The sequence below is a fragment of the Homo sapiens genome, chromosome 1 (genome assembly GCF_000001405.40).
Source record: "Homo sapiens chromosome 1, GRCh38.p14 Primary Assembly".
Classification (NCBI taxonomy): Eukaryota; Metazoa; Chordata; class Mammalia; order Primates; family Hominidae; genus Homo; species Homo sapiens.
The window spans coordinates 94,189,021-94,213,893 of NC_000001.11; the positions used below are offsets into that span (position 1 = coordinate 94,189,021).

Consider the following 24,873-nt stretch of genomic DNA (forward strand, 5'->3'; position numbering starts at 1 on the left):
ACAATTCAAATTTCTTTAACAATAACCAGTTATCAACGTTAAGACAGGCACCATGGTAACAACTGTGAATAAGATCTCATAAACTTACAAACTAAGGCCTGATTTTTAAATTCCAGAGCACCAATTAATTTAACAATCACATTCGAACAACCTGACCTTTTATAAATTAGCACTCTCTTTAGGGTGGAAAACTACCTGTTATATCTGCACTGTTAGAGCATCTGTCCTCTTCAATTTTATTAGAACTGTCAGGAAGGCGTACAACATCCTCTAAAGAGTTGGCAGGTCCAAATCCTGAAGGTTGGGAACTATTTAAATGTTTATTTACATTTCTGAAACAACAACAATGACAAAAAACAAAACTCAACACTCCAAAGAATAATAATCAGTTGATTTCATTCTATGTTTAGAAAAATCTATTAATTTAACAATCATAGAAGAATTAAACTAAATATTAAAAACAAACCACACTCATGGTTCAGCTTCTTATAGGAGATGTAAATACTTTTTAATTATTTGTCCTTATTACAGTGAAAACATGGGAAGTGAATAGCAAAAGTATAGTTAATTCATGTCATGGTTAAACTTTTCTAGCATGACCTCTGTGAAAAACATAGGTTAAATTTTTGTCGACCTTCAAAACATGTATGGCCATCATATGCCATTCCCAAAGGATTTTTAATTCTTAAATAAAAGAAGTCTGTGTCAAAATGGAAAGGCTCACTGTTAATGAATTACATCTATTCTTTAAATATATCTACTTCGATACCATAAAATAATATTTAAAGAACTCAGAAAATTTTTAATTTTGTCAGTTAGAAAAGTCTCCTCCTTGTACTAGATAGAAACTTAACAATTAAGTGTTTTATATTTTGAAATAATTTTGTCTGTACATTAATTCTCACCCATCAACTTTTTCTTCTTCAGTTGAATTTGTGGCCTTGACAAATTCACTGTACTCTTGGCCTGGGTCATAGAGTTTGGCACTATCACAGAGAGACTGTAAACTGTCTGCAAGGGAAGCAGCCTGCAGATGCTGCATGTGGAAGAGGTTAACTGTTACCTATGGACCCAGAGACAAAAGGCAGAGTAACTCATGATATACAGAATGCTATATAAACATACATTTATTTCAATGACTGCACCAATAAAAATGCCATACAGTGAAGCATACAACACTGAATATCACTCTGAACATACTATGATGCCTGATTTTGCATAAGTCTAGATTAGGGAGAAAAGCAGTTTGAATCTAATATCTAGGAGCAATCATTTCCAGCAAAACTGGCTTTTAGCTGAAAAGTTCAAAAGTGACTTCAAAAACTCCATGCCCCAGCTGGTTCATAATTTTAGGAGATGGATGTGTTTCTGAGGATCCTCATCTCTATATCCTGATGGTCTGATCACAACTGCCTAAGAGAAAAACATGGGGAAAACACTTCCAATCAAAGAACTATTATTTAGACTGTTTTCACTTTTTCAATCCTATAAAAATAGAAATGCTTAACTACAGTACTCAGTTCTAATAATTAGATATTACCTTGAATTTATTCAAAATAAATTATTCCATTGAGTTTCACAAATGCCTAAATATATTATCACTATCATCACTTGTACTAACAACAATAGCAGCAGCTGACAAGTGTGTACAATATGCCAGACCCATTCTCAGAGTCTTACATGAATACACTAATTTGATGTTCACAAAAACCTAGGCTTTGGGTATATTACAGCAAACCGATGAGATACTGACCCTCCTGGACCTTTACGTTCTCCTGAGGGTGGTACGCGAGAGAAGTAACAAATTACGTAAATAAAATACTTTCTGGTACTGAAAAATGCTATAAATACTACATAAGAATGTCAAATTATGCAGTATGACCAGGTACGTGTTTGTGAAAGGGTATTTCCAACATGGTAAATTAGGGAAGGCTTCTCTGAGGAGGTAACATTTGAACTGCGAGCCGATGTAAGAAAAGCTTCATGGAGATCAATCCAAATGAAAGGAGGAGGTAGTGCAAATGTGAATGCGAAAGAGCTTGTCATGCTCAAGAAAGAGATGAAAGGTCAATATGGTTGAAGTATATGGAAAGAGCTGGAGCTCTGGTTTAAGATAAAGCTAAAAAAAGAAGTAGTCATCTGAACTATGGCAAGGTGTCTGAATTTAAGAGCAACAGGAAGCTGGTGGAGCATTTTACACAAAGCTGTAACATGATCTGATTTATTCTTTAAAATGACACTCTGGCTTCTTTGTGGGGAAGGTATTTAAGGGTAGCAATCTGAATAAGTGCTAAATTTCGATTAGCTTAATGTTATTTCAAAGACTGCCATGTTTCCTCTTCATCTCTCTTGATATACCAGATGATAGGATAATTAGCCTCTAAGTCCTTTTCAATGTAGACAGGCATTCCCTAAGGATACTTGACTCTGCATAAATAGTATTTGAAAAGTACAGATAACAGAATAAATAGCTTATTTGTGCCCTAACTTCTTCAAGAAACAAAGAAAATTCAAACTGCATAAGGTACAGTTTAATTCTAGCAACTGGCTATGTTAGAGCATTCTCCAGCTAAAGGTAAACTGCTTACTCTCTTGATCCTAAAGGTAACTTGCACGCTAGGTGACCTTCATCAAGTTATTTATAATTTATTTAAACCAGTGCATTGAAAAAGTTAATGTGCAAATGAATCACCTTGGGGATCTTGTCCAAATGTAGATTATGGTTCTAAGGATCTGTGTTGAAACCCAAGATTCTGCATTCCTCATAGGCTCTCAAAGTAATGGCAATATGACTGGTCCAAGGACCGCATCTTGAGAAGGCTTTCTAAACTTTAGTTTTCTCATCAGTAAAATGGAGCTAAAAACTTGATAGGATTTTTGTGAGAATTAAATGAATTAATGTAGACCATGAGCTTAATACACTGGCAGGTACGTAGTCAATCTTAGCTATTATTAGCTATTGTTTGAGGTGAAGAGAATTTGTCAAAAGTAAATGGCCTAAATGACTTCTAAGGTAATTTCAAATCCTGGATTTTATAATTCTTTTAAATCCTTTCATGATTCTTTAAGTAAATAATATATTAATTAATCAAAATTTGGAAAATAAATGAGATACAATATTAAACACTCAAAAATATTTTAAGGAAGTTTTCTGGTTCAGATGCAGTAAGCTAACTTCTCCCGTCTCCCACTGAATTCACCTAAAAATCTGAACAGAATGCACAAATCAAGACTCTGAAAAGTAAATGGAAATAAACTACAATTCAAGGTATGACCTATCCAGTGATAGGTCTACTCCTGCCCTCTTTTCCAGCCCATGCTCAGCTCCTACCCAATTCTCCAATTCCCAAAGTACAAACTGAGTGCAGACAGAAGGAGCTCCAAGAGAGGTCCTTTCTGGCCCAAGGAACAAAAGCGGGGAGGGGTGATGGGAGATGAAACTAAAACAGTAGAAGAAAACTCCCTGGTTTCTTTTGTATATTTATTTTCTCTCCTGCCCCAGACCCCAAGCAAGTCCAAATCCCTAAGACACAATCTTATGGGAGCAGCAATGATGGCAGTAGCAGCTGAGGAGATGCCAAAACTCTGATGGAAATCCTTGTTTATGACCAGATGAACTGTAGTCTAGAGTGAGAGGGTCTGAAATTTCTGTTACTTTTTTCTCTTTATCCTCCCCACACTTGGCCCTGGAGAAGAGCAGAATAGGCAGACCTAAGCCCCCAGCCAGAAGATTAGGAAGGGAGTCACGCAGAAGCTGGAAAATGAACCTAACTGTATCAAATGGCTGCTAAAATTGAAAAAAAAAATTAATGCTCAATATAGGTTATAAACAGGACCCAGAGTCAATAAAGTAATGATGAAAATATCTAGGATATCATTCAAAATTACTTGTCATACAAAGAACCAGGAAAATCTCAACAACTCGCAAGACAAAAGACAATAAAAAGACACCAACCCTGATACAGCTCAGATTTGGGACGATTAGATGAAAAATCTACAACAACTATTACAAAGGTTTCAAAAAAGTAGAGCAAACAATCTTGAAACATGGAAAAACAGAAGAAGTCTCAGCAAAGAAATGTAAGATATAAAGAAACAAAAGGAAAATTTATTGCTGAAAAATAAAATATCCAGAACAAAAAATTTACTGGATGAACTGTATGGGAGAATGGGGATAACCAAAGGAAAAGAGACTGTGAACTTGAAGACAGATCAACAGAACACTATAAACAACCAAGAGGAAAAAGCTTTGGGGAAAAAACAGAGGACCTCCAGAACTGCAGAAGATTAACAAAAGCTCTAGTGTTTGAGTCACTGCCTGTCAGAGAAAGAGGAAAAAGAATACTACAAAAAAAAAAAAAAATTGAAGAAACAATAGTTGAAAACTTCTCAAATTTTTCAAGAGTCAAACTTGTAGATTCAAGAAGTTCAACCAATCCAAAACAGGAAAAACAGCAAAAACCAGGTCTAGATACGTCTTAAACAGATAAAATCCAAAGACAAAAAAAATCCCACAAAAACAGCCAAAGAAAAACACATGCCACAATTGGGGAATGATAATTCATATGATTACTGGTATCTCATGAGAAACTACGGATGCCATAAGGCAGTGGAACAATATTTTTAAAGCAGTGAAAGAACTGATTTCTGTATTTAGAATTCTATATCCAGTGAAGGTGTCCTTCAGAAATAAAGACGAAATAAAGACATTCTCATATGAAACACAACCAAGTGAATCCATTACCAGCAGACCTGCTATAAAATAGTGGTAAAGGAAGTTCTGTAGACAAAGTGTTACCAGAGGAAAGATGGAACCACTAGAATGCAAGAAGAATGAATAGAAATAGTAAATAATAGACTACTTTTTTCCTCTTAACCTCTTTATAATATGTATGACTTTTAAAAGCAAAAATTATGAGAGTCTGGTGAGGTTTTCAACGTATATGGATGTAATTTACATATATCAAATACAACCCAGATTAGGTAAAGGAACTTCTACGGTGGTGATGCTTCTGTGTTCCACTTGAAGTGGTAAAAAACTAGTTCTAAGTAGACTGTAAAAAAATTAAGTGTATGTATAAATATAGATAAGTGTGCAACCATTTTTTTTAAACTTGGCTATTTATAGAATAATCTATTTTAGGCTGAATTGTCCTAGTACATGTTTTAATGCATCTAGCATTTTCATAAAACTCTGGAAGCCACATTAAATGCTCGGCTTCTTCAACAGTTTTTCACAGTTCATTACTACACTTTCAGGTAACTAGTAATCTCAGAACTTCTATTTCTGTTCCATGAAAGAGATAATTTTTTTTTTACCAGAATGCTTATTTTGTATCTTAATGACACAATATCCATTTTCATATATGACAGAATCCATATATGTACTACTACATCTGTATGTTCTTAGTCACATCAGGCTGCTACAACAAAAATACCACAGAGTGACTTAACAAAGATTTATTTCTCACAGTTGTAGAGATTGAGAGATCAAGACCAAGGCACTATCAGATTCAGGGTCTGGTGTGGGCCCCAATTCCTGATGCGTAGACTGTTCTTTTCTCTCTGTGTCCTCACATGATAGAAGGGGAAGGGTCATGAGGGCTCCACCTAGTCACCTCCCAAAAGCCCCACCCTCCAAATATCATCACATCATCACACTGGGGATTAGGAACTCAACATGCTAATTTTGCAGGGGGTCATAAGCAGTCCATAGCAACTCAGTTCAACCAAGTCTTAAACAGATAAATACCAAAGATTCAACCAAGATTGTGAGGTTCTAATGAGAATTTACAATGCTAAATGATCTCAAAAACCATTATGTTTTGATATATGCTGCTTAACTGGTTGACTCTATATGACATAAACAATCAAACACATTTTTTCATTGGTCAAGCGATGTAGTTTTACATTTAGCTTCACTGAGAGTAAATGTAGACAAAAGTAAAAAGTAATAATAGAAGTCTACATGCAACCATTGTGGTTATCAAGGCAATGCAAGTTTCTAAATGATAATTAGAGGGAGATTTTCTCGGGTTATATAAAAAGATAAAAATTGAATTTCCTAACTGGAAGCTGGCCAGGAGTGGTTTGTAACTGCTATATTCTCTTGAAAAAGACACTGTAGTCATTAGAACGAGAAGGGAAGGGAAAGAGTTCTACCAAACAAAATCTCAGTTTTGGTTCATTTATTAAACTTTTCTCTCATTTTATAAGAACAAAGGGGAAAAAAACCATTCTGGTGATTGGACCCATGGGCCAGGCAACCCAATATTCAATTGACAGTGAATCCAAGACATTGCAAGCAATATTCAGTTTATGACAGTGGTGCCAGGGGAGGTGTTATGAGCATCCACACTGTTTTTTCCTTCACAATGTTTTCTTCAGAAAACATTTAAAAGTTAGGAATATAACCTGAGCTACTATAGCTTCTTAATAACACAGATGTGTGCAACCAATTTTTTAAAAAAGGTATATGAAGATACATAATAAAAAACCCAGTAGACAAATTAAAATATATGTCTAGAAAAGTATCAATTCATCCAAAAGACGGCAGCAAAAGGGAAATAGATTAAGGAAAATATCATAAGGCATAAACAAAAAAGAAATAAAATGATAAAACTAAATCTGAACATATATTTACCTTAAATATAAATGGTCTAAACACTCCACTTATAAGATAGTGCCAAAATAGATTTTTAAAAAAAATCACAATAGAAGTATATGCTCTCTATAATGCTATATAAGAAACTCACTTTAAATATGATAAAATTAAAAGAATGATAAAAGATATGCTACACTCAAAATAACCAAAAGAAAACTGGAATAACATATCAGTATTAAATAAAGTAAAATAAAAAGCAAGGGAATTTATCAGTATAAAAAGAGACACATTTCTAGGGATAAAAGGATCAATATACCAAGATCATTAATAATTGTTACTGTGTAAGCAACGGAGCTTCAAAATACATAAAACAAAAACTGATAGAACTAAAAACACACAATATGTTGGAGACTTCAAAACTCCTTTCTCAGTAATCGATAAAAGTAGCAAAGGTAAATCATCAAGAATACAGAAGAAATAAATTACATCTTAAAACAACAGGAACCAATTGATATTTATAAAACACTCCAGTCAACAACAGAACACACATGCTTTTCAAGTGTACATGTGGAAAATTCATCACTGATCTTTTCAAAGAAACAGCTTTTAGTTTCGATTTTTCCGTGTTTTTCTTTTTTTTTTTTTTTTTTTTTTTGAGACGGAGTCTCGCTCTGTCGCCCAGGCTGGAGTGCAGTGGCGCGATCTCGGCTCACTGCAAGCTCCACCTCCCGGGTTCACGCCATTCTCCTGCCTCAGCCTCCCGAGTAGCTGGGACTACAGGCGCCCGCTACCACGCCCGGCTAATTTTTTGTATTTTTAGTAGAGACGGGGTTTCACCTTGTTAGCCAGGATGGTCTCGATCTCCTGACCTCGTGATCCGCCCGCCTCGGCCTCCCAAAGTGCTGGGATTACAGGCGTGAGCCACCGCGCCCGGCCCCTGTTTTTCTTTTTAAATTTTATTGATTTCTTTTTACTGATTTCTGCTTGTTTATGACTCACATCCTGGGTCATAAAATAAACTACATAACAAATTTAAGAGAAATGTAATCATAACCAGTATTTCTCCCACCATAATAGAATTAAACTAAAAATCAGTATCAGGAAGATATCCAGAAAATCCTCAAATACTTGGAAATTAAACAACAGACTTCTACATTATCCACAGATCAAAGATGAAGTCTCAAGGGAAATTAGAAAATATTTGGAACTGAATATAAATGAAAATACAAATTTTAAAATTTGTGGGATATACATAAGCAATGCTTAGAGCGGAAAATTTAAAGAATTAAATGTATCAGAAAAGCACAGGAAGGTCTCAATAAACAACATAAGCTTGTGCTTTAAGAAACTTTTTTAAAAAGGCAAAATAAACCCAAAGAAAGTAGAAATAAGAATAAAATGCAGAAATCAGTAAAATTAAGAAAAAGAAAAACTGATGAAACTAAATGCTATTTCTTTTTTAAAAAGATAATAAGACTTATAAACCTCTTGCCAGACTGACCAATGAGAGAGAAAGAGAAAAAAGATGCAAATTACCAGTATCGGGAATGAAAGAGAGGTTATTACTACAGCCCACTGAGACATTAAAAGGTAAGAGAATACTACAAGACACACTGTGCACATAATTCAACAACCTAGATAAAAAGGACCAATTCCATGAAAGCCACAAGCTACCAAAAATCACCTAAGAAGAAATAATTAACTTGAATAGGCCTATATCAAAATACACTGAATACGTAGTAAAAAAAAAATTTTCCAAAGGAGAAAATCCCAAGCCTAGACACTTTCACTGGAGGAATGTTATCAAACTTTTAAAGAAGAAATAACACAAATTTGAAACAATCTTTTCCAGAAAACAAAATAGGAGGAAGCACTTTCCAATTCATTTTATGCAGCCAGAATCACCCTGACACTTTCAAAACTAGACAAAAACATTTTTTTTAGACATATCAATCTTTCACTGAGAGAAAAAGAAAAAATACTCAACAAAGTAGCAAATTGAATCCAGCAATATAAAAAAGAAAACAATTCCTCATGACCAAGAGGGGCTTATTCCAGGGATGCAAAGCTAGGTCCACACTCATGTATTAACGTAATGCACCATATTTACAGGCTAAAAACAAAACCACATGTATCAAATAATGCAGAAAAATATTTGATAAAATCTAACCTTTATTTATGATAAAACTCTCAGCAAACTAGAAAAAAGAAATTTCTTAACCAGATAAAAGGCACCTTCAAAGAACCTACAGCTATCACCATATTTTATGATGAAAGACTGAGTGCTTTTCCCCTAAGATGGACAATTAGGCCAGGATGTCTTCTCTCACCACATCTATTTAACAGTGTACTAGAAGCCTTAGTTAGGACAATAAGAAAAAGAAATAAAAGGAATACAGATTGGAAAGGAAGATATAAAACTGTCCCTATTTGCAGGTAACATAGTTTTCTATGTAGAGAATCCCAAAGGATCTACAAAAAGCTCCCAAGAGTGAGTTTAGCAAGGCTGCAAAATATAAAACCAACACACAAAATATCAAGTATATTTCTAAATATTAACAATTAAAACAGCCAGCCACGGTGGCTCACACCTGTAATCTCAGCACTCTGGGGGGCCAAGGTGGGTGGATTCCTTGAGCCCAGGAATTCAACACCAGGTTGGGCAAACATGGCAAAACCCAGTCTCCACAAAAAAATACAAAAATTAGCTGGGCATGGTGGCATGCACGTGTAGTCTTAGCTACCTGGGAGGCTGAGGATTGCTTGAGCCCAGGAGGGTGAGGCTGCAGTGAGCTATGATCACACCACTGCACTCCAGCCTGAGTGACAGAGTAAAACCCTGTCTCAAAAAACAAAAACAAACAAAAAACCCCCCAAACCAATTAACAATGGGAATTTTAAATAAAGGAAATCTATACATATGCACTTATGTGTACATATAGACCATTCACAATAGCCCCCCCAAATAAACACATACGTATATAGGATTAAATCTAACACAACTTATTAAAGGTATGTTGAAAACTACAAAATGCTGATTTTTTTTTCTTAATCAAAGACCTAAGTAGTTGGAGAGACATAATATGTTCATGTGTTGGCAACTTTATATTGCTAAGATGCTACATATACAGTCAATGCTCCCCAGTCTGATCTAAAATTTAATATCAATTCCAACCAAAATGTTGGCAAGAGTTTTTTGGAGATATGGACAAGCTGATTCTAACATTTTTATGGAAGGTCAAAGAACCTTAAATACTCAAACAATTCTATAAAAGAATAAAGCTGGAAGACCCACACTGTGTACCTGATTTTAAGACTTGCTGCAAAGCAAAAATAATCGAGACACTGGGGCTTTATAAAAAGGACAGCGAGAACCAAACACCACATGTTCTCAATCATATGTGGGAACTGAACAATGGAATCACTTGGACACAGGGTGGGGAACATCACACACCGGGGCCTGTCGGGGGGCTGGGCACTGGGGGAGGGATAGCATTAGGAGAAACACCTAATGTAAATGATGAGTTGATGGGTGCAGCAAACCAACATGGCACATGTATACCTATGTAACAAACCTGCACGTTGTGCACATGTATCCTAGAACTTAAAGCATTAAAAAAAAAGACAGCAAGTACTTCAGTGCAACAAAATAGAAAATAAACAAGTAGACACCTACAAATATGGTCAACTGATTTTTACCAAGATGCAGAGGCAATTTAATGAAAATGGCATAGTGTTTTCAACAAATGGTATCAAAACAAGTGGATATCTGCATTTACCATGTTTTTTATTTTCTCTATTTTATGCAGTTTTGACATCTTAAAAAGCATGCTGGCCAATGAGAGACTGACTCTCTCTGGGCTAGCTAATTCCTAGAGATAGCCAAGGGCACAGCTAGGATCACAGCTTTCATGTGCAAAGCAACAAGTCTCAAGTCTATAGATCCAGCCACCTCCTTCTCTAACTCTTACACACAAAGCCAATTATTTTCTCTGTCCTAAATCACCCCAGGGCCAGGTACCAAACAACGGGAGACCATCCCTATGCTCCAAAGTCCATGGAAATTCACACTAGCCAATCCTAAACAGTTTACCTTGCCTTTCCTGAGGAAACCCCAATAAAAGCTCTACTTAGCTTTCTTTCATCCCTACTTACGCTTGCCAAACCTGGTAATTCCCTTGTGGCCCTGTGTGGATTGACATGTCCCCTTCTCTTGGGAAATTTAAATCCTAAGTTTTTCTTTCAATGGCACTGACCTTTCTGTGTCACTCCGATAAAGTAACATCCTGTGGGTATAATTTTATTATAACATCCATATGCTAAAAATGAACCTCAACCTGTACCTTAAACCTTACACAAAAATTAAGCCCAAACGGATCATATATCTATATGTAAAACTATTGAAATTTTAGTAGAAATCACAGGATGAATCTTTATGATCTTGGGTTAGGTAAAGCACTCTTAGGTATAACCAAAAGCATGACTCATAAAAGAAAAAACTGATAAGTTGGATTCCAACAAAATTAAAACCTCTTTCTCCCCAAAAGACACTGCTAAAAGAATAAAAAGAGAAGCTCCAGAATGAGAGAAAATATATGCAAGCTCAACAATAAGAAAATAAACAACTCAATTTTTAAGATAGCTAAAACACAGATTGTCAATAAGCCTTTGAAAAGATGCTCAATATCGTTAATCATTTTTAGAAACACAAATTAAAACCACAATTAGATAACACACCTATTGGAACAGCTAACATTTAAAAACAACGACTGATACATGTCAAGGACACAGAACAACCAAAACTCTCATACACTGCTGGTTAGAATGAAAAATATTATAGCCACTCTGGAAAACAGTTTGGCAGTTTCTTATAAAGGTAACTACACATTTAGCACACCAGCCAGTAATCCCACTCCTGGTATTGACTTGAGAAACAAGAAAACTTATGTTCAACAAGAATGTATAAGAAAATATTCTGCGGCTCTATTCATAATCACCCCAAACTGGAAACACCGCAAATGTCCAACTAGTGAATGGATAAACACTGTAGTACAGTCATACAATGGAATTCTGCAATAAAAAGAAACAAACTATTGATACATGCATAACATTGATGAATCTCAAAGGCATTATGCTGAGTAAAATAAACCAGTCAAAAGGTTATATACTATATGATTTCACTTGTATGACAATCTGGAAAAGACCAAACTCATAAGGCAGAGAACAGATCAGTACTTGCCAGGGGTTAGGAGTGGGCAGAGAGTTGGACTACAAAATAAGTAGCATGAAGGAATCATTTTTAAGTGATAGCATTGTTCTGAATCCTGATTGTGGCAGTACTTACACAAATTTGTAACTGTTAAAACTTGTGGACTATACATGAAAAAAAGGTTTTCCATGTAATTAATTTTACGAAAAACATTTTAAAGAGTAAATAAAAATACTTCAGGACAGAATGCTTTGTCTCCAAATAATTTGGTTCAATTTTAATATTTAATTTACTCCAATTCTGAAGAATATATCTCAGAGCACTGGCAGAAGTTTCAAGGGTCAAATCAATGATGTCGGCAAAGCCAAGAAAACTGGTGGCTTAGAGGCAATTTTAAACTCTCAGACTTCAATTTTAACCAAACAAATCATCAATCCAGAGAACATGGGGAAAGGCAGATCAAAAGAAATTCAAACTGTATATCACTATGAAAAACTGAAAATCAATCTGCAAACTCAACACATTTCATTAATCTCAGAATCTAAATCCCGTAAGAATTGTAACTTATCAGGCATACCTTCCCCTTCTGCAGATAGAGACTTCTCTTTCTTTTCCCTCCCTCCCTTCCTTCCTCCCTCCCTTCTTTCCTCCCTCCCTTCTTTCCTTCCTTCCTTCTCTCTCTCTCTCTCTCTCTCTCTCTCTCTTTCTTGATCACCCACTCTAGAGTGGGTAATCATAATCGAAGCTCACTATAACCTCAAACTTTTGGGCTCAAGTGATCCTCCCACCTCAGCCTCCCAAAGTGCTGGGATTACAGGTGTGAGCCACCATGCCTTGCCTGATGGTCTTTTCTTCTTGCCTTCAAAATACTGAAGAAATTACTTACAGCTTTAAGGGTAAGATCACACTGGAAAACAAGTGTCCGGAGTTGTGCTAAAATTTCTCTTTTGGTATTTTCTAGATCATTTCTTCTTTCTTCAACATTTGTCACACAAACTTTGTAAAGTTCATTTGCTTCTTCTACCTTCACAAATATCACAGAAAAAAAAATAACACTAGAATTTATATTTTAAACAAATATTTACTATAGTAAAGCTAAGTTGAAATAACTGAAAATTCTGAAATCTTCTGTTTTCAAAATAATACTTCTGAAGTTAATCTGTTCTGGTCAGTGATTCAAAGGCAGTTGATTTTAATGGACAGCCATGTACAATTTATAATTAGTACACTGTCTATAAAATATTTGCTTCTATTTGAAATAGCATTTTATATTTATATTTACTATATTCCATATAATCTTACAGAATTTGTTCGTAAAATTACATTTCATCAATAATACAAAGCTTTTGCCTATCCTTGCTATCAGGTGCCTGAATTAGTACACATACACACACACACTTGCCTAAAAGGTGAACTTTCTTGTCAAGTAAAATAAACTACTGCCTTCTCTAAGACATTCTTTCACAAACTCCAAAATTCAGGTCTCAGCATAGTGGTTCTCAAAATGTGGATCTTCACCAACAGCATCAGCACGACCTGAGAGCCTATTAAAAAATGTTGACCTACTGAATGAGAAACTCTGGGGGATGGGCTTAGCCATGTTTTAACATGCCTTTCCAGGCAGTCTTGGCAGACGCAGAACTTTGACACCAAACTCCTGGCAGATTACCGCTAATTCAACTTGCAAATAAAAAAGAAAAAGATCGTTACTTTTTGGAGAGCCTCCTCTTCCAACCTTCGCTTTTTTTCTAGTTGCTTGTTGAGATTTTTTGCTAATCCGCCACTTGAAGACAGATGCTCCTCTTCTGCACGAAACATGGAAGACTTTGCTTTCTCATATTCATCTTGACGTTGCATGCATAATAATTTTGCCTTTTTGAGAGCATTCTCTGCTTCAAGCTACACCGAAAAGAGTATTAAACACAGAATATGAAAGAAATCCTACTGAACAAGTGTCTTTAGCATATTCAGCAAGATAGTTAAGACAATATTTTAGAAAAATGAGAGCAAGGAAGGTCAGTATATACTGCAGATTATTTTAAATGTTCACAAATAGGTACATGAAACTCCATTTTAATACTAACCATTTTATTTTGCTCCTGTTTCCAAAGCTCTTTTATTTCTTTCCTTTGTTTTTCCATTTCATTTTTCCTTCCAAGTAGAGGCTGTGAAAGGTATTTAAAATGGAAAAAGAGAAAAGCAATTTTCTAATGGCATGCCATTGCTTAAAAATAAAAGTGCATTATACATATAAATTAATCTTTACCTGCACAAATTTGTTAGCCTGGAGAGCTGCAATTGTTTGTTGTAAAAGGTGACTGCTTTCTATATCATTAAGAAGAGCATTAGTAAACAGAGACTGCAGTGGCATGAACTCCTAAAATTTAAAATTGAAAAGTAAATTTTACAATAGAAATGGCACTAGAATTCCAAACACATCACTACCCTTCTTCAAAAAGGGAAACTAAGTTTAGACTTTTGCCCCCAGAAAAATAACTAGTCAAAAACATGACTATGAGAAAAATATAGAAGAAAATTAATTATAATTAATCATAAAACTGGTTAGCAAAAGTAGTAGCTATCAAGACAATCAGTATTTGTATAAAATTGTAAATTTCTGGCTGGGAATAGTGACTCATGCCTATAATCCCAATACTCTGGGAGGCCAAGGTGGGTGGATTACTTGAGCTCAGGAGTTTGAGACCAGCCTAGGCAACATGGTGAAACCCCATCTCTACAAAAACATGCAAAAATTAGCCAGGGCATGGTGGGCACCTATAGTCCCAGGTCATCAGGAGGCTGCGGTGGGAGGATCGCTTGAGCCTCGGGGGACAGAGGTTGCAGTGAGCTGAGATCACGCCACTGCACTCCAGCCTGGGTTACAGAGTGAGACCCTGTCTTAAGACGAAAAAAAAAGCGTATTTCCTAGATTTTTTCATAATGGACATCCATCTAAACTTAAAATAATTTTGTCAATAAAAAGATCAGCATTTAAGTGCTTTCCTATATTAACTGAAATATTCTGATTTTGCAAATTATTGGGAGTTCATGAGTAGTTTCTTATTATAGAACCCCCGAAGTTCACAGAACACTTACCTGAATTCCAATGTTAGTTCTAGTTGCCTCTGCCAACTTGACCATATTTCTAGTGGACTCCAATTCTGAAAAGTTCAAAGAGGGTATCAGAAGGTAAAATCAATTTATTTTTCCCCCTGTATACTCTAAAATTACTTGTAGTAATTCCACAATTAAGAAGTGATCACAAATACTAGTGTGTATCAAGATATAATACAGCAATACTTCTTTCTTCCTTTTTTTTTTTTTTTTAAAAAGAGACATGGTCTCACTACGTTGCCGAGGCTGGTCTCGAACTCCCAGGCTCAAGTGATCTTCCAGGCTCAAGTGATCTTCCAGCCTCAGCCTCAGGAATAGCTGGGATTACAGGCATAAGCCACCATGTACAGCTCTTAATGCAGCACTTCTTAATTGTGAGTGCTCATCAGAATCAACTGGGAAACTCTTTCAGAATATATTTGCCTCCATTTCACCTCTCTGAAGGATAGGACCTAGGCTTGTGTACTGACCCTCTACAAGACTATTCAGGTGATTCTGATTAGCATTCTCTATTATAAGCAAATAATACAGTAGAAAGAGCATAGGCTTTGGGTAGATTCTATATTCTTCCAGTTATGCTATATGACTTTAAGCAAATCTGCTATATGACCTTAAGAAATCTCCTGTCTTGTCTCTCTCAGCTGTAATATAGGAAAAACAATTCTTGTCTTGCCTACTTCTCAGAGTTTTTGTAAGAAGTAAATAAGATAATGACTACGAAAACATTTTGATAACTGTAAAACACTGAGGAAATATTAGCTATTAAAATGTTTCTTCTCTGTTTCCATTGCCTTCTACTCATACATCTATTGTTGCTGTTATCTCCTGACCATATTATCTGACTGCATTTCCTCTTACCCACTAGAGTATGACTTCTTTGAAGGCAGAGACAGTATTCTATTTGTCTTTGTGTCCCTAGGTCTAGTAGTTGGTCCACAGTAAATACTCACTAATTCCATCTAGTGTAAGAAGAGTCTTTTCTGGATAATGGTTTTATTCATTATAATGAAACAGGTACTAATTTGGAATTCTATTACTCATAATCTGTAAAAAATGAGTTAGAAACAACTTAATTATTATACTCTAAATCAGATGCTTTAAAAGGCAACTCACCCAAGTTAAGCTTTTTTTCAACCCATGAAACTATGTTCTTAGTATATTTTGACCAAGTTTTAGCATATGACAAAGCCAGCTCGATAGAGTCAGTGTTCTTTAACAGCACGTTGTCTAGTTCTAAAGGGGAAAAATTTCCTGAAAACAAAAATATCAAGGTAAGTATATGTTAAATGTGATCACATCATAACTCCAAACAAAGAAGCACTGAGATCCTAAGATACTAGTCAATAAAAACTGGTTTTTAAAAAAAATACAAGTGACAAATTTACAATTAAAAGGCCAGAGTTTAAACTTAAAATGGTTTCAAACTATAATGTATTTTTATCTTAAAATATATTTCTATTATCCATCAAGTTAAAAGCTTTACACAATTCTTGATCAGTCTATATCTCATATTATCTATCTACTCTAGCAGGTTATTTCCCTTAAGCTCTATATGTAAAACTTTATATATCATTTTGCATTAAAAATGAATACACTAGGTTACTAAGCAAGAAGAGATTAATCCAGGACATTCATAGAAAGTAACTACAAGAAGTTTGTGAAAAGTTATAAACACCTTGAGCATTACCTTTTTCACTGGATGAGTCCACTGATTCCACAGAAACATTTTCAAACGACTTACAACATGGAAAAAGATAAATTTAAAATTAGAGAAGAACACAAATCTTTGCTTCAGAATTTTTTTGCCCCAATTTGTTACTCTGACATAATTCCTGCTAAAGAATTTCAAGTATTTAAAACTTAAAGGCCTTAGAAGTCTGTTTAAGTGCCAGAACACTTCATAAGAATTTCATAGCTTTTTACAACAGGAGTTCCCAAGATCCAAGAATGAACAACCTCACTGTTGTTACTAACAGCATTAGTTAACATTAATGAATCCATTCAAAACTTTAAATTTTGCAGATAACAAAAATATTAGTCAAGAAGTTAGAGAAGCAATGCAAACATATTGCTATCTAAACAGAAGACACAGATCTGCCTCTTCCAGTCATCTTTTATCATTTTACTATATGATAAGCATGTCTCTGAAAGTCTATTACATAGCTTAGCACAAAACTTTCTATGATGATGGAAGTGTTTTATATCTGTACTGTCCAATAAAGTAGCTAATAGCTCCATGTAGCTATTTGAACATTTAATAAGTGGCTAGTGTGACTAGGAGGTGGAAGTGAATTTTTAATTTTATTTAACTATTATAATTAAATTTAAAGAACTACATGTGACTCGTGCTACTTTATTGCATTGTGCTGGAAAACATCATTTACCAAAATTTTGAGATCTTAAACAAATTTAATCGATTTAAATTGGGCAATACAGGGTATACAGGGATTCAATGCAAAACTGATCGAGGAGACCTGGGTCTGAAGTCCAGCTCCATTATTACCTGTATGACACTGGGCTACATATTTTAAGTTCACTAACTTTGTAAGTCCTTCTGTAAAAGAGGGATAAGAACACTACTTTCAAAAGACTGTTTTAAGAATTAAGATGATGTAGGCCTAGCGCAAGGCATGGTACATAGTAACCACTATTAAACATATTGCAACAGGCCAGGTGTGGTGGCTGATACCTGTAATCACAGAACTTTGGGAGACTGAGGCGGACGGATCACCTGAGGTCAGGAGCTCGAGGCCAGCCTGACCAACATGGAGAAACCCCATCTCTACTAAAATACAAAAATTAGCCAGGTGTGGTAGCACATGTCTGTGGTCCCAGCTACTTGGGAGGCTGCGGCACAAGAAGTGTTTGAAATTAGAAGATGGAGGTTGCAGTGAGCCGAGATCACACCACTGCACCAGCCCAGGTGAAGGAGTTCTCACTCTGTCTCAAAAAATATATATATATTTAATATTATATATGTATAATATATAGTTGCAATATATATATTCAAATGAGGCAAATATATATATATAGAGAGAGAGAGAAGGAGCAACTTTTATTTATTTATTTATTTATTTTTGAGACAGAGTCTCACTCTGTCACCCAGGCTGGAGTGCAGCGCCACGATCTTGGCTCACTGCAACCTCTGCCTTCTGGGTTCAAGTGATTCTCGTGCCTCAGCCTCCCAAATAGCTGGGACTACAGATGCACATCACCCTTCCTGGCTAATATTTGTATTTTTAGTAGAGACTGGGTTTCGCCACGTTGGCCAGGCTGGTCTCGAACTCCTGGCCTCAGGTGATCCGCCCACTTCGCCCTCCCAAAGTACGAGATTACAGGTATGAGCCACCATGCCCTATTATTTTTAAAGGGTATTTTTCAAAACCGTTGATCAAAGTAATTTTATTATTAGGATTATATATCATCACAGCTTTTTTATTCCAATCTCTAAAACAAATTAAAACCTTCAAAAAAAAGTACAAAAGAAAAAAAAGAAAAAAGTATTTTTTCCTGTTAAGAATTAGTATAATATGTATGCACAATAGAGGTACAGAAACAGGAAATATGATTCACACCTAAAATTTAAATTGTTCAGTGTCTTGCCACACAGATAAAATGTGTAATCTTCTGAAGTAGTAGCAACAGTTTGAAAAGATAAAATTTAGGAATAATCATGAATAATAGCAAAATATTTAAACATCTTACAACTTTTCATCATTCTCCTCCATTTGTCAATAGATGGCTTCAGTAACGGTCATAATTTTTGGTAATATTGTAATACATATAACAAATGCCTTAAATAGTCATTTTTATTTTATATAATTTTAAGAAGGACCTGAGGTTTTTATAATAATATAAGTCCCTGGCACGTTTCCAAATATTTGATTTTTTTTTTTGTTTTTGTTTCTTTGTGTTTTTTTAGAGACAGAGTCGCACTGGCTAGAGAGGAATGACACAATCACAGCTCACTGCAGCCTTGAACTCCTGGGCTCAAGTGAATCCCCCCTCTCAGCTTCCCTTTCAAGTAGCTGGGACTACAGACTTGTGCCACCACATCTGGCTAATTTTTTGTAGGGACAGGGCCTCAATCATGTTAACCAGGCTGGTCCTGAACTCCTGTCCTCAAGTGATCCTCCCACCATGACCTCTTAAAGTGCCGGGACTATAGGTGTGTGCCACCACACCTGGCTAATTTTTTGTAGGAACAGGGTCTCAATCATGTTAACCAGGATGGTCTTGAACTCCTAGCTTCAAGTGATCCTCCCACCTTGGCCTCTTAATGTGCTGGGACTATAGGCATGAGTCACTATACCTGGTCCCAAATATCTGTTGAAATCCTTCTTGGATTTGATCATCCTTAACAGAAAATGATCAACATAAGTCCCTGATGCAGTTTTTTAATGTATTTTGTTTGCATTCAGCAAAAAAGTTTAGTCAATTAAAAACATTACTACCATAAACTTTAAAGAAATATTATCCATACATTCCTTATATTCTGTTATTTCATAGCAATTTTTCTTTTTTTTTTTGGAGACAGAGTCTCACTCTGTCACCTAGGCTGGAGTGCAGTGGTGTGATCTCGGCTCACTGCAACCTCCGCCTCCCGGGTTCGAGCAATTCTCCTGCCTCAGCCTCCTGAGTAGCTGGGATTACAGGTGCCCACCACCATGCCCAGCTAATTTTTGTATTATTAGTAGAGATGGGGTTTCACCATGTTGGCCAGGCTGGTCTCAAACTCCTGACTTCAGACAATCCGCCCACCTCGGCCTCCCAAAGTGCTGGGATTACAGGTATGAGCCACCACCCCCGGCCTAAGATTAGGCAATAGTTGAAACATGAAGTTAAAAACATTAAAGACTTTGCTTTCACACAAACTTAGCTTACCTTAGTTTCTCGAGAAACAGGCAGTCGCAATAATGAATCATTGCCTACATCTCCCATAAGGAAGTTTGTAAGGCTATCCAAGGAGGTTAAAAAAAGAAAGACAAGTCATTATACTTCTTTGTGACAGGGTTTACATTCAACATGTTATCTAAAATAATTTTTTAAAAATAAGAACCTTAGAAATAAACCCCTAGGAATCTGTTCACATAAACCACAGTCACTTGCAAATGGATGTTGCTTCTAAATAGCTATAAAAATATCTTCGAATATAGTAATAAGGCCATACAGAAGGTAGTTTTTCCGAAGTTGTGATATTTAATACCATTTAATACTTCGTTTCCCATGTATGTTACTGGATAATGCAACATACTCTCACTAAGACACCTAGGACTAGTTGCTTTAAATGACAGTTCTCTACTTACATATTTCCAAAGGTAAATGCCAAAGTTTCAATAGAAGAAAACACTTCCTGGAAGAGATCGTTTTTGTTTTCTTCATTAACTTCTGTGAAGTTCACAGCTGTAAGGAAAAGTTGGTTACAATAAGGAAAAACATACTTTAAACTAGATTTATACAGAATCATTTAATCCTTTAAAACTTCATCATTAGTTCAAGAAGCATTAGAAGATTCAGAAATTGAAAAGCCTAACATACAAAATTGACATGATGTTCAAATTCTTCATTATGAAATTCATATAAAAGAATCAGCTTGCATAAAAGCAGTTAGCATTCCAAACTGACTACTCCATGGATTACATAATTTGACACATCTAAAAACTGACTCAATGTGAAATCCATCAGTGCTGGAGTCACAGAGTCCATGTTACACCACACCTCTCAATTATTAACACTGTTCTGTACTATTTTCTCTTCCTTACTGCTTTCTGGCATTTTAAAAAACAGCTAAACACACTGTAGCTCACTGAAGGCAATATGAGGTACATTTTTTAGTATGAATTACCAATAATTAAAGTCATATATATATACATATACATATATTTGACAAAGCATAAAACCTGTAACAAAGCACATCACATTAAAAAAAAACACCCAGTGATTTGGAAAATTAAAATTCCTATTTACTTACAGCCTTATTTCTTATAACAGGCTCTTGGGCTCTGAGGTCCATGTTAATTGACATACAGCTAGCTGCATTTTGTTTACAATAGAGATATTCTAATATTTTGCATTTTGTTAAAGCAAATTATGAAACAAAACTGAAAAAGATTTCTTATTTTAACTTCTGTATACACTCTTGTTAAAAGCCCAAACACGGTTTACCAAGACAAAGTCTGAAAGTGGAATTGGTAATTTTTTTAAAGTAACTGTTGCTACTTGGGCTGGGTATAAAGAGTAACTGGTTCCCTATATGACCCCTCCCTAATATTCTCACCAATAAAGGGAAGGAAGATAAACCTTTTGAAGAAGTCACTCTCTATTTTAAAACAGAGTTGTCTTTAATCTTGGCTGCACATTAGAATTACCTGGGGAGTTTTATTAATAAAAACAAAGTCTGGGTCCCACTAATCAAAGATTCAGATTTCATAGGTACGTGGTGAAGAATATATTTTGTTGCAAGCTCTCTCATGTGATTCTAATACACAACGAGAGTTGGAAAGCAAGAATTCCTAGGCAGGAGTGAATTAAACTTCAAGCCTATAAATCCCATGAAATTGCAACCAAAATTTTATATGCATAAGCCTCTGTAGATTGGCAGGTGGGAGGCTAAGATCCATAACCTTCATCAGATTCTTCTAAATATCACTGATACAAACAAAAAGAAAAAGTTACCATTGCGAATATGGTTCTTAAATAATGGGCATTTAAAAAATATTCTCAGACTTCTGCTCTGACCAAGATGGAGAAACAGATTATACTTCTACCTGAAACAACTAAAAGACACTCAAATAAAATATAAGAAATAGGCTGGGTGTGGTGGCTCATGCCTGTAATCCCGGGGCTTTGGGAGGGCAAGGCAGGAGGATCACTTGTGGCCAAGAGTTCAAGACTGCAGTTAGTTATAACTGCACCACTGCACTCCAGCCTGACAGAGCAAAACTCTGTTTCTTATTTAAAAAAAAAAAAAAAAGATTTCTATACAAAGGACATTACCAGGGATAAAAAGAGTCATTTATAATTATGAAAGAGTTGATTCATCAAAAGGACATAACAGCCAGGTGCAGTGGCTCATGCCTGTAATCCCAGCACTTTGGGAGGCCGAGGTGGACAGATTGTCTGAGCTCAGAAGTTCAAGACCAGCCTGGGCAACATGGCGAAACCCCATCTCTACTAAAAATACAAAAAATTAGCCAGGCAATGGTGACGCGTGCCTGTAATCCCAGCTACTGGGAAGGTTGAGGCATGAGAATCACTTGAACCCAGGAGGCAGAGGTTGCAGTAAGCTGAAATCATACCACTGCACTCCAGCCTGGGCGACAGAGCAAGGCTCTGGCTCCAAAAAAAAAAAAAAAAAAAAAAAAAAGGACATAACAATTCCATATATTTATGTACCTAATAAACAGAGCTTTAAAATACTGAAAAACTGCAACAAAAAACACATAAATTCACAGTTGTAACTGGTGATTTCAATAACCCTTCGCAATAACTGACAGAACGCGTAGATGGAAAATAAGTAAGCATAGGGAAGATGAGAACAACACTATCTACCACCTTGACAAGACATTTATATGACACCCTACCTGACAAAGCAAAACACATGTTCTTTTCAAATGCACACTGAATATCGTTACCAAGATAGACTATATTATGGGCCATAAAACAAGTCTTGATGAGTTTAAAAGGATTCAAATGAGGCAAAATATTTTTGTGACAACATGAAATTAAATCAGAAACAACAGAAGGATCTCTGGAAAATCTCCAAATATTTAGAAACTAAATAACACACTTTTATTTTTTTATTTTTAAATTTTATTATTATTATACTTTAAGTTTTAGGGTGCATATGCACAACGTGCATGTTTGTTACATACATATAAATGTGACAAGTTGGTGTGCTGCACCCATTAACTGTCATTTAGCATTAGGTATATCTCCTAATGCTATCCCTCCCTCCTCCCCCAACCCCACAACAGTCCCTGGTGTGTGATGTTCCCCTTCCTGTGTCCATGTGAATAACACACTTTTAAATAACCCAGGTGTCAAAGAAGAAAAAAGGAAATTAAAAAGTATTCTGACCCAGCACTTTGGGAGACCGAGGCGGGAGGATCACCTGAGGTCAGGAGTTTGAGACCAGCCTGGCCAACATGGCAAAACCCCGTCTCTACTAAAAGTACAAAAATTAGCTGGGGGTGGTGACGCACTCCTGTAATCAATCCCACCTACTCAGGAGGCTGAGGCAGGAGACTGCAGTGGGCTGAGATCTCACCACTGCACACTAGCCTGGGTGACAGAGCGAGACTCCATCTCAAAAAATTTAAAAAAGGGATTTTGCAGAATAAAAATGAAAAAAACAACATATCAAGATTTGTGAAAGGGGGGACCAAGAGATACAGGTAGAATGATGACAATTTCACAGGAGTATGATGCATGTCAGAATTTTCAAATTGCACCATTGTTTATTATACAATCGTACCTCAATAAAGCTGTTTATAAAAATACATTGTAGACTTTAAATAGTAATTTATAATATAATACCATCAAAAATGTAAATCCTACTTGTATTTCCTAACTTTAAGCTGTTAAAAAATAGTTTATAACCCTATCCAAAATTGTATAATTATTCTTACTTTCTTGTATTTTTTTATCAAACTAAACATGACTGGGAGATTAAAAAATAATTGTAACAACTGTTGAGTAGTGAAAAGAATAATTATTGAACCAATTCAACATTTGAACCATCTTATCTTCATCCCTACCTGAGCGAAGTTATAGCCATCTAATGAAAATTCCTATTCCTAATGCCTTGGCCTGACTTCAAAACAGCCCTATATTTCTAATATCTAATATAATTCTCTTTTTTGTCCTGCTCAGTGTTTCAAAGAAAAGTCTTTGGCTCCTTTCCACTAATAAATATACCTACTCTTTCCTACATTCTCCAAAACCCTATACCAACTTTACTCCTCCTTCACAGCTTCATTATCTCCTATTCAATTGACATTTTTTCTTATGTTACTAACACACTCAAATCTTTCCTATGTGAAAAAAATGTTCATTTTGCCATATTTCTCCTTAAAGCTACCATTCAAACCATTTACGGTTTCTTCACTACTGAACAGAATTCTATAAATAGGTCATGCCATGGCCTATATTGCCTTCCTTCCCAAGTTAACCTTAAATTCAAGATTTGGCTTTTCACCCACTTTAACGGTTATCAGAGGCTAGAAAACTTTTTCTTTTCTTGTTTTCTGAGACAGAGTCTCGCTCTGTCGCCCAGGCTGGAGTGCAGTGGCGTGATCTCGGCTCACTGCAAGCTCCTCCTCCCGGGTTCCCGCCATTCTCCTGCCTCAGCCTCCCGAGTAGCTGGGACTACAGGCACCCGCCACCAGGCCCGGCCAATTTTTTTTGTATTTTTTAGTAGAGACGGGGTTTCACCGTGTTAGCAAGGATGGTCTTGATCTCCTGACCTCGTGATCTGCCCGCCTCGGCCTGCCAAAGTGCTGGGATTACAGGCGTGAGCCACCGCACCCGGCCTGGAAAACTTTTTCTATAAAGGACCAGGTAGTAAATATTTTACACTTTTCAGGCCAGTCAGTTCTGTTGAAAGGGGCCATAGATGATACATAAATGGATAAGACTGTGTTCCAATAAACCTTTATTTACAAAAACAGGCAGCTGGCCAGATTTGGCCCACCAGCCTGTGTGCCAACGCCTGGTAAAGTGGATGGGTTCCGAAGTCAGTCTGCCTAAGTTAAATCCTAACTCTCTCTCTTACAATGTTACATAACTTCACCCCTCTGTAACTCAGTTTCCTCATTTATAAACTGGGGATAATTACGTACTTTGAGAACTGTTGTGAAGATTAAATGAACTTAGAACAGAGCCTGTTACATAGAAGATGTTCAAAAATGTTAGCTATTATTATCATATAACACAAAACACTGTC

At 35.9% G+C, this 24,873-nt stretch overlaps 1 protein-coding gene across 8 annotated transcripts in view, besides 2 other annotated features; it reads right to left on the reverse strand.

The window, feature by feature from the left end:
- Positions 1-24,873, reverse strand: part of ARHGAP29 (Rho GTPase activating protein 29) — a 145,688-nt gene that overhangs the window by 20,116 nt on the left and 100,699 nt on the right. For 7 of the 8 annotated variants that reach the window (XM_047434759.1, XM_047434754.1, XM_011542439.3 and 4 more), the window contains 11 exons: positions 20,234-20,330; positions 19,812-19,884; positions 16,615-16,663; positions 16,041-16,178; positions 14,910-14,974; positions 14,080-14,190; positions 13,898-13,978; positions 13,524-13,712; positions 12,700-12,837; positions 906-1,063; positions 196-332 (listed from right to left, as the gene is read on the reverse strand). In XM_047434759.1, the coding sequence (XP_047290715.1) occupies positions 196-332; positions 906-1,063; positions 12,700-12,837; positions 13,524-13,712; positions 13,898-13,978; positions 14,080-14,190; positions 14,910-14,974; positions 16,041-16,178; positions 16,615-16,663; positions 19,812-19,884; positions 20,234-20,330 (1,236 nt within the window). The remainder of the gene's footprint in view (positions 1-195; positions 333-905; positions 1,064-12,699; positions 12,838-13,523; positions 13,713-13,897; positions 13,979-14,079; positions 14,191-14,909; positions 14,975-16,040; positions 16,179-16,614; positions 16,664-19,811; positions 19,885-20,233; positions 20,331-24,873) is intronic. The other variant, NM_001328666.2, reaches the window with a different exon arrangement.
- Positions 5,496-5,707: a silencer, noted in NCBI's record as "fragment chr1:94660072-94660283 (GRCh37/hg19 assembly coordinates)". NCBI's record gives its function as "represses an EF-1alpha promoter that drives an FKBP-Casp9 reporter gene in an ReSE screen in HepG2 liver carcinoma cells {active_cell/tissue: HepG2}" and the evidence as "EXISTENCE:reporter gene assay evidence [ECO:0000049][PMID:32094911]".
- Positions 10,353-10,883: an enhancer, noted in NCBI's record as "NANOG hESC enhancer chr1:94664929-94665459 (GRCh37/hg19 assembly coordinates)". NCBI's record gives its function as "activates a minimal SCP1, AML or CMV promoter by ChIP-STARR-seq in primed H9 embryonic stem cells {active_cell/tissue: H9 hESC(primed)}" and the evidence as "EXISTENCE:reporter gene assay evidence [ECO:0000049][PMID:30033119]".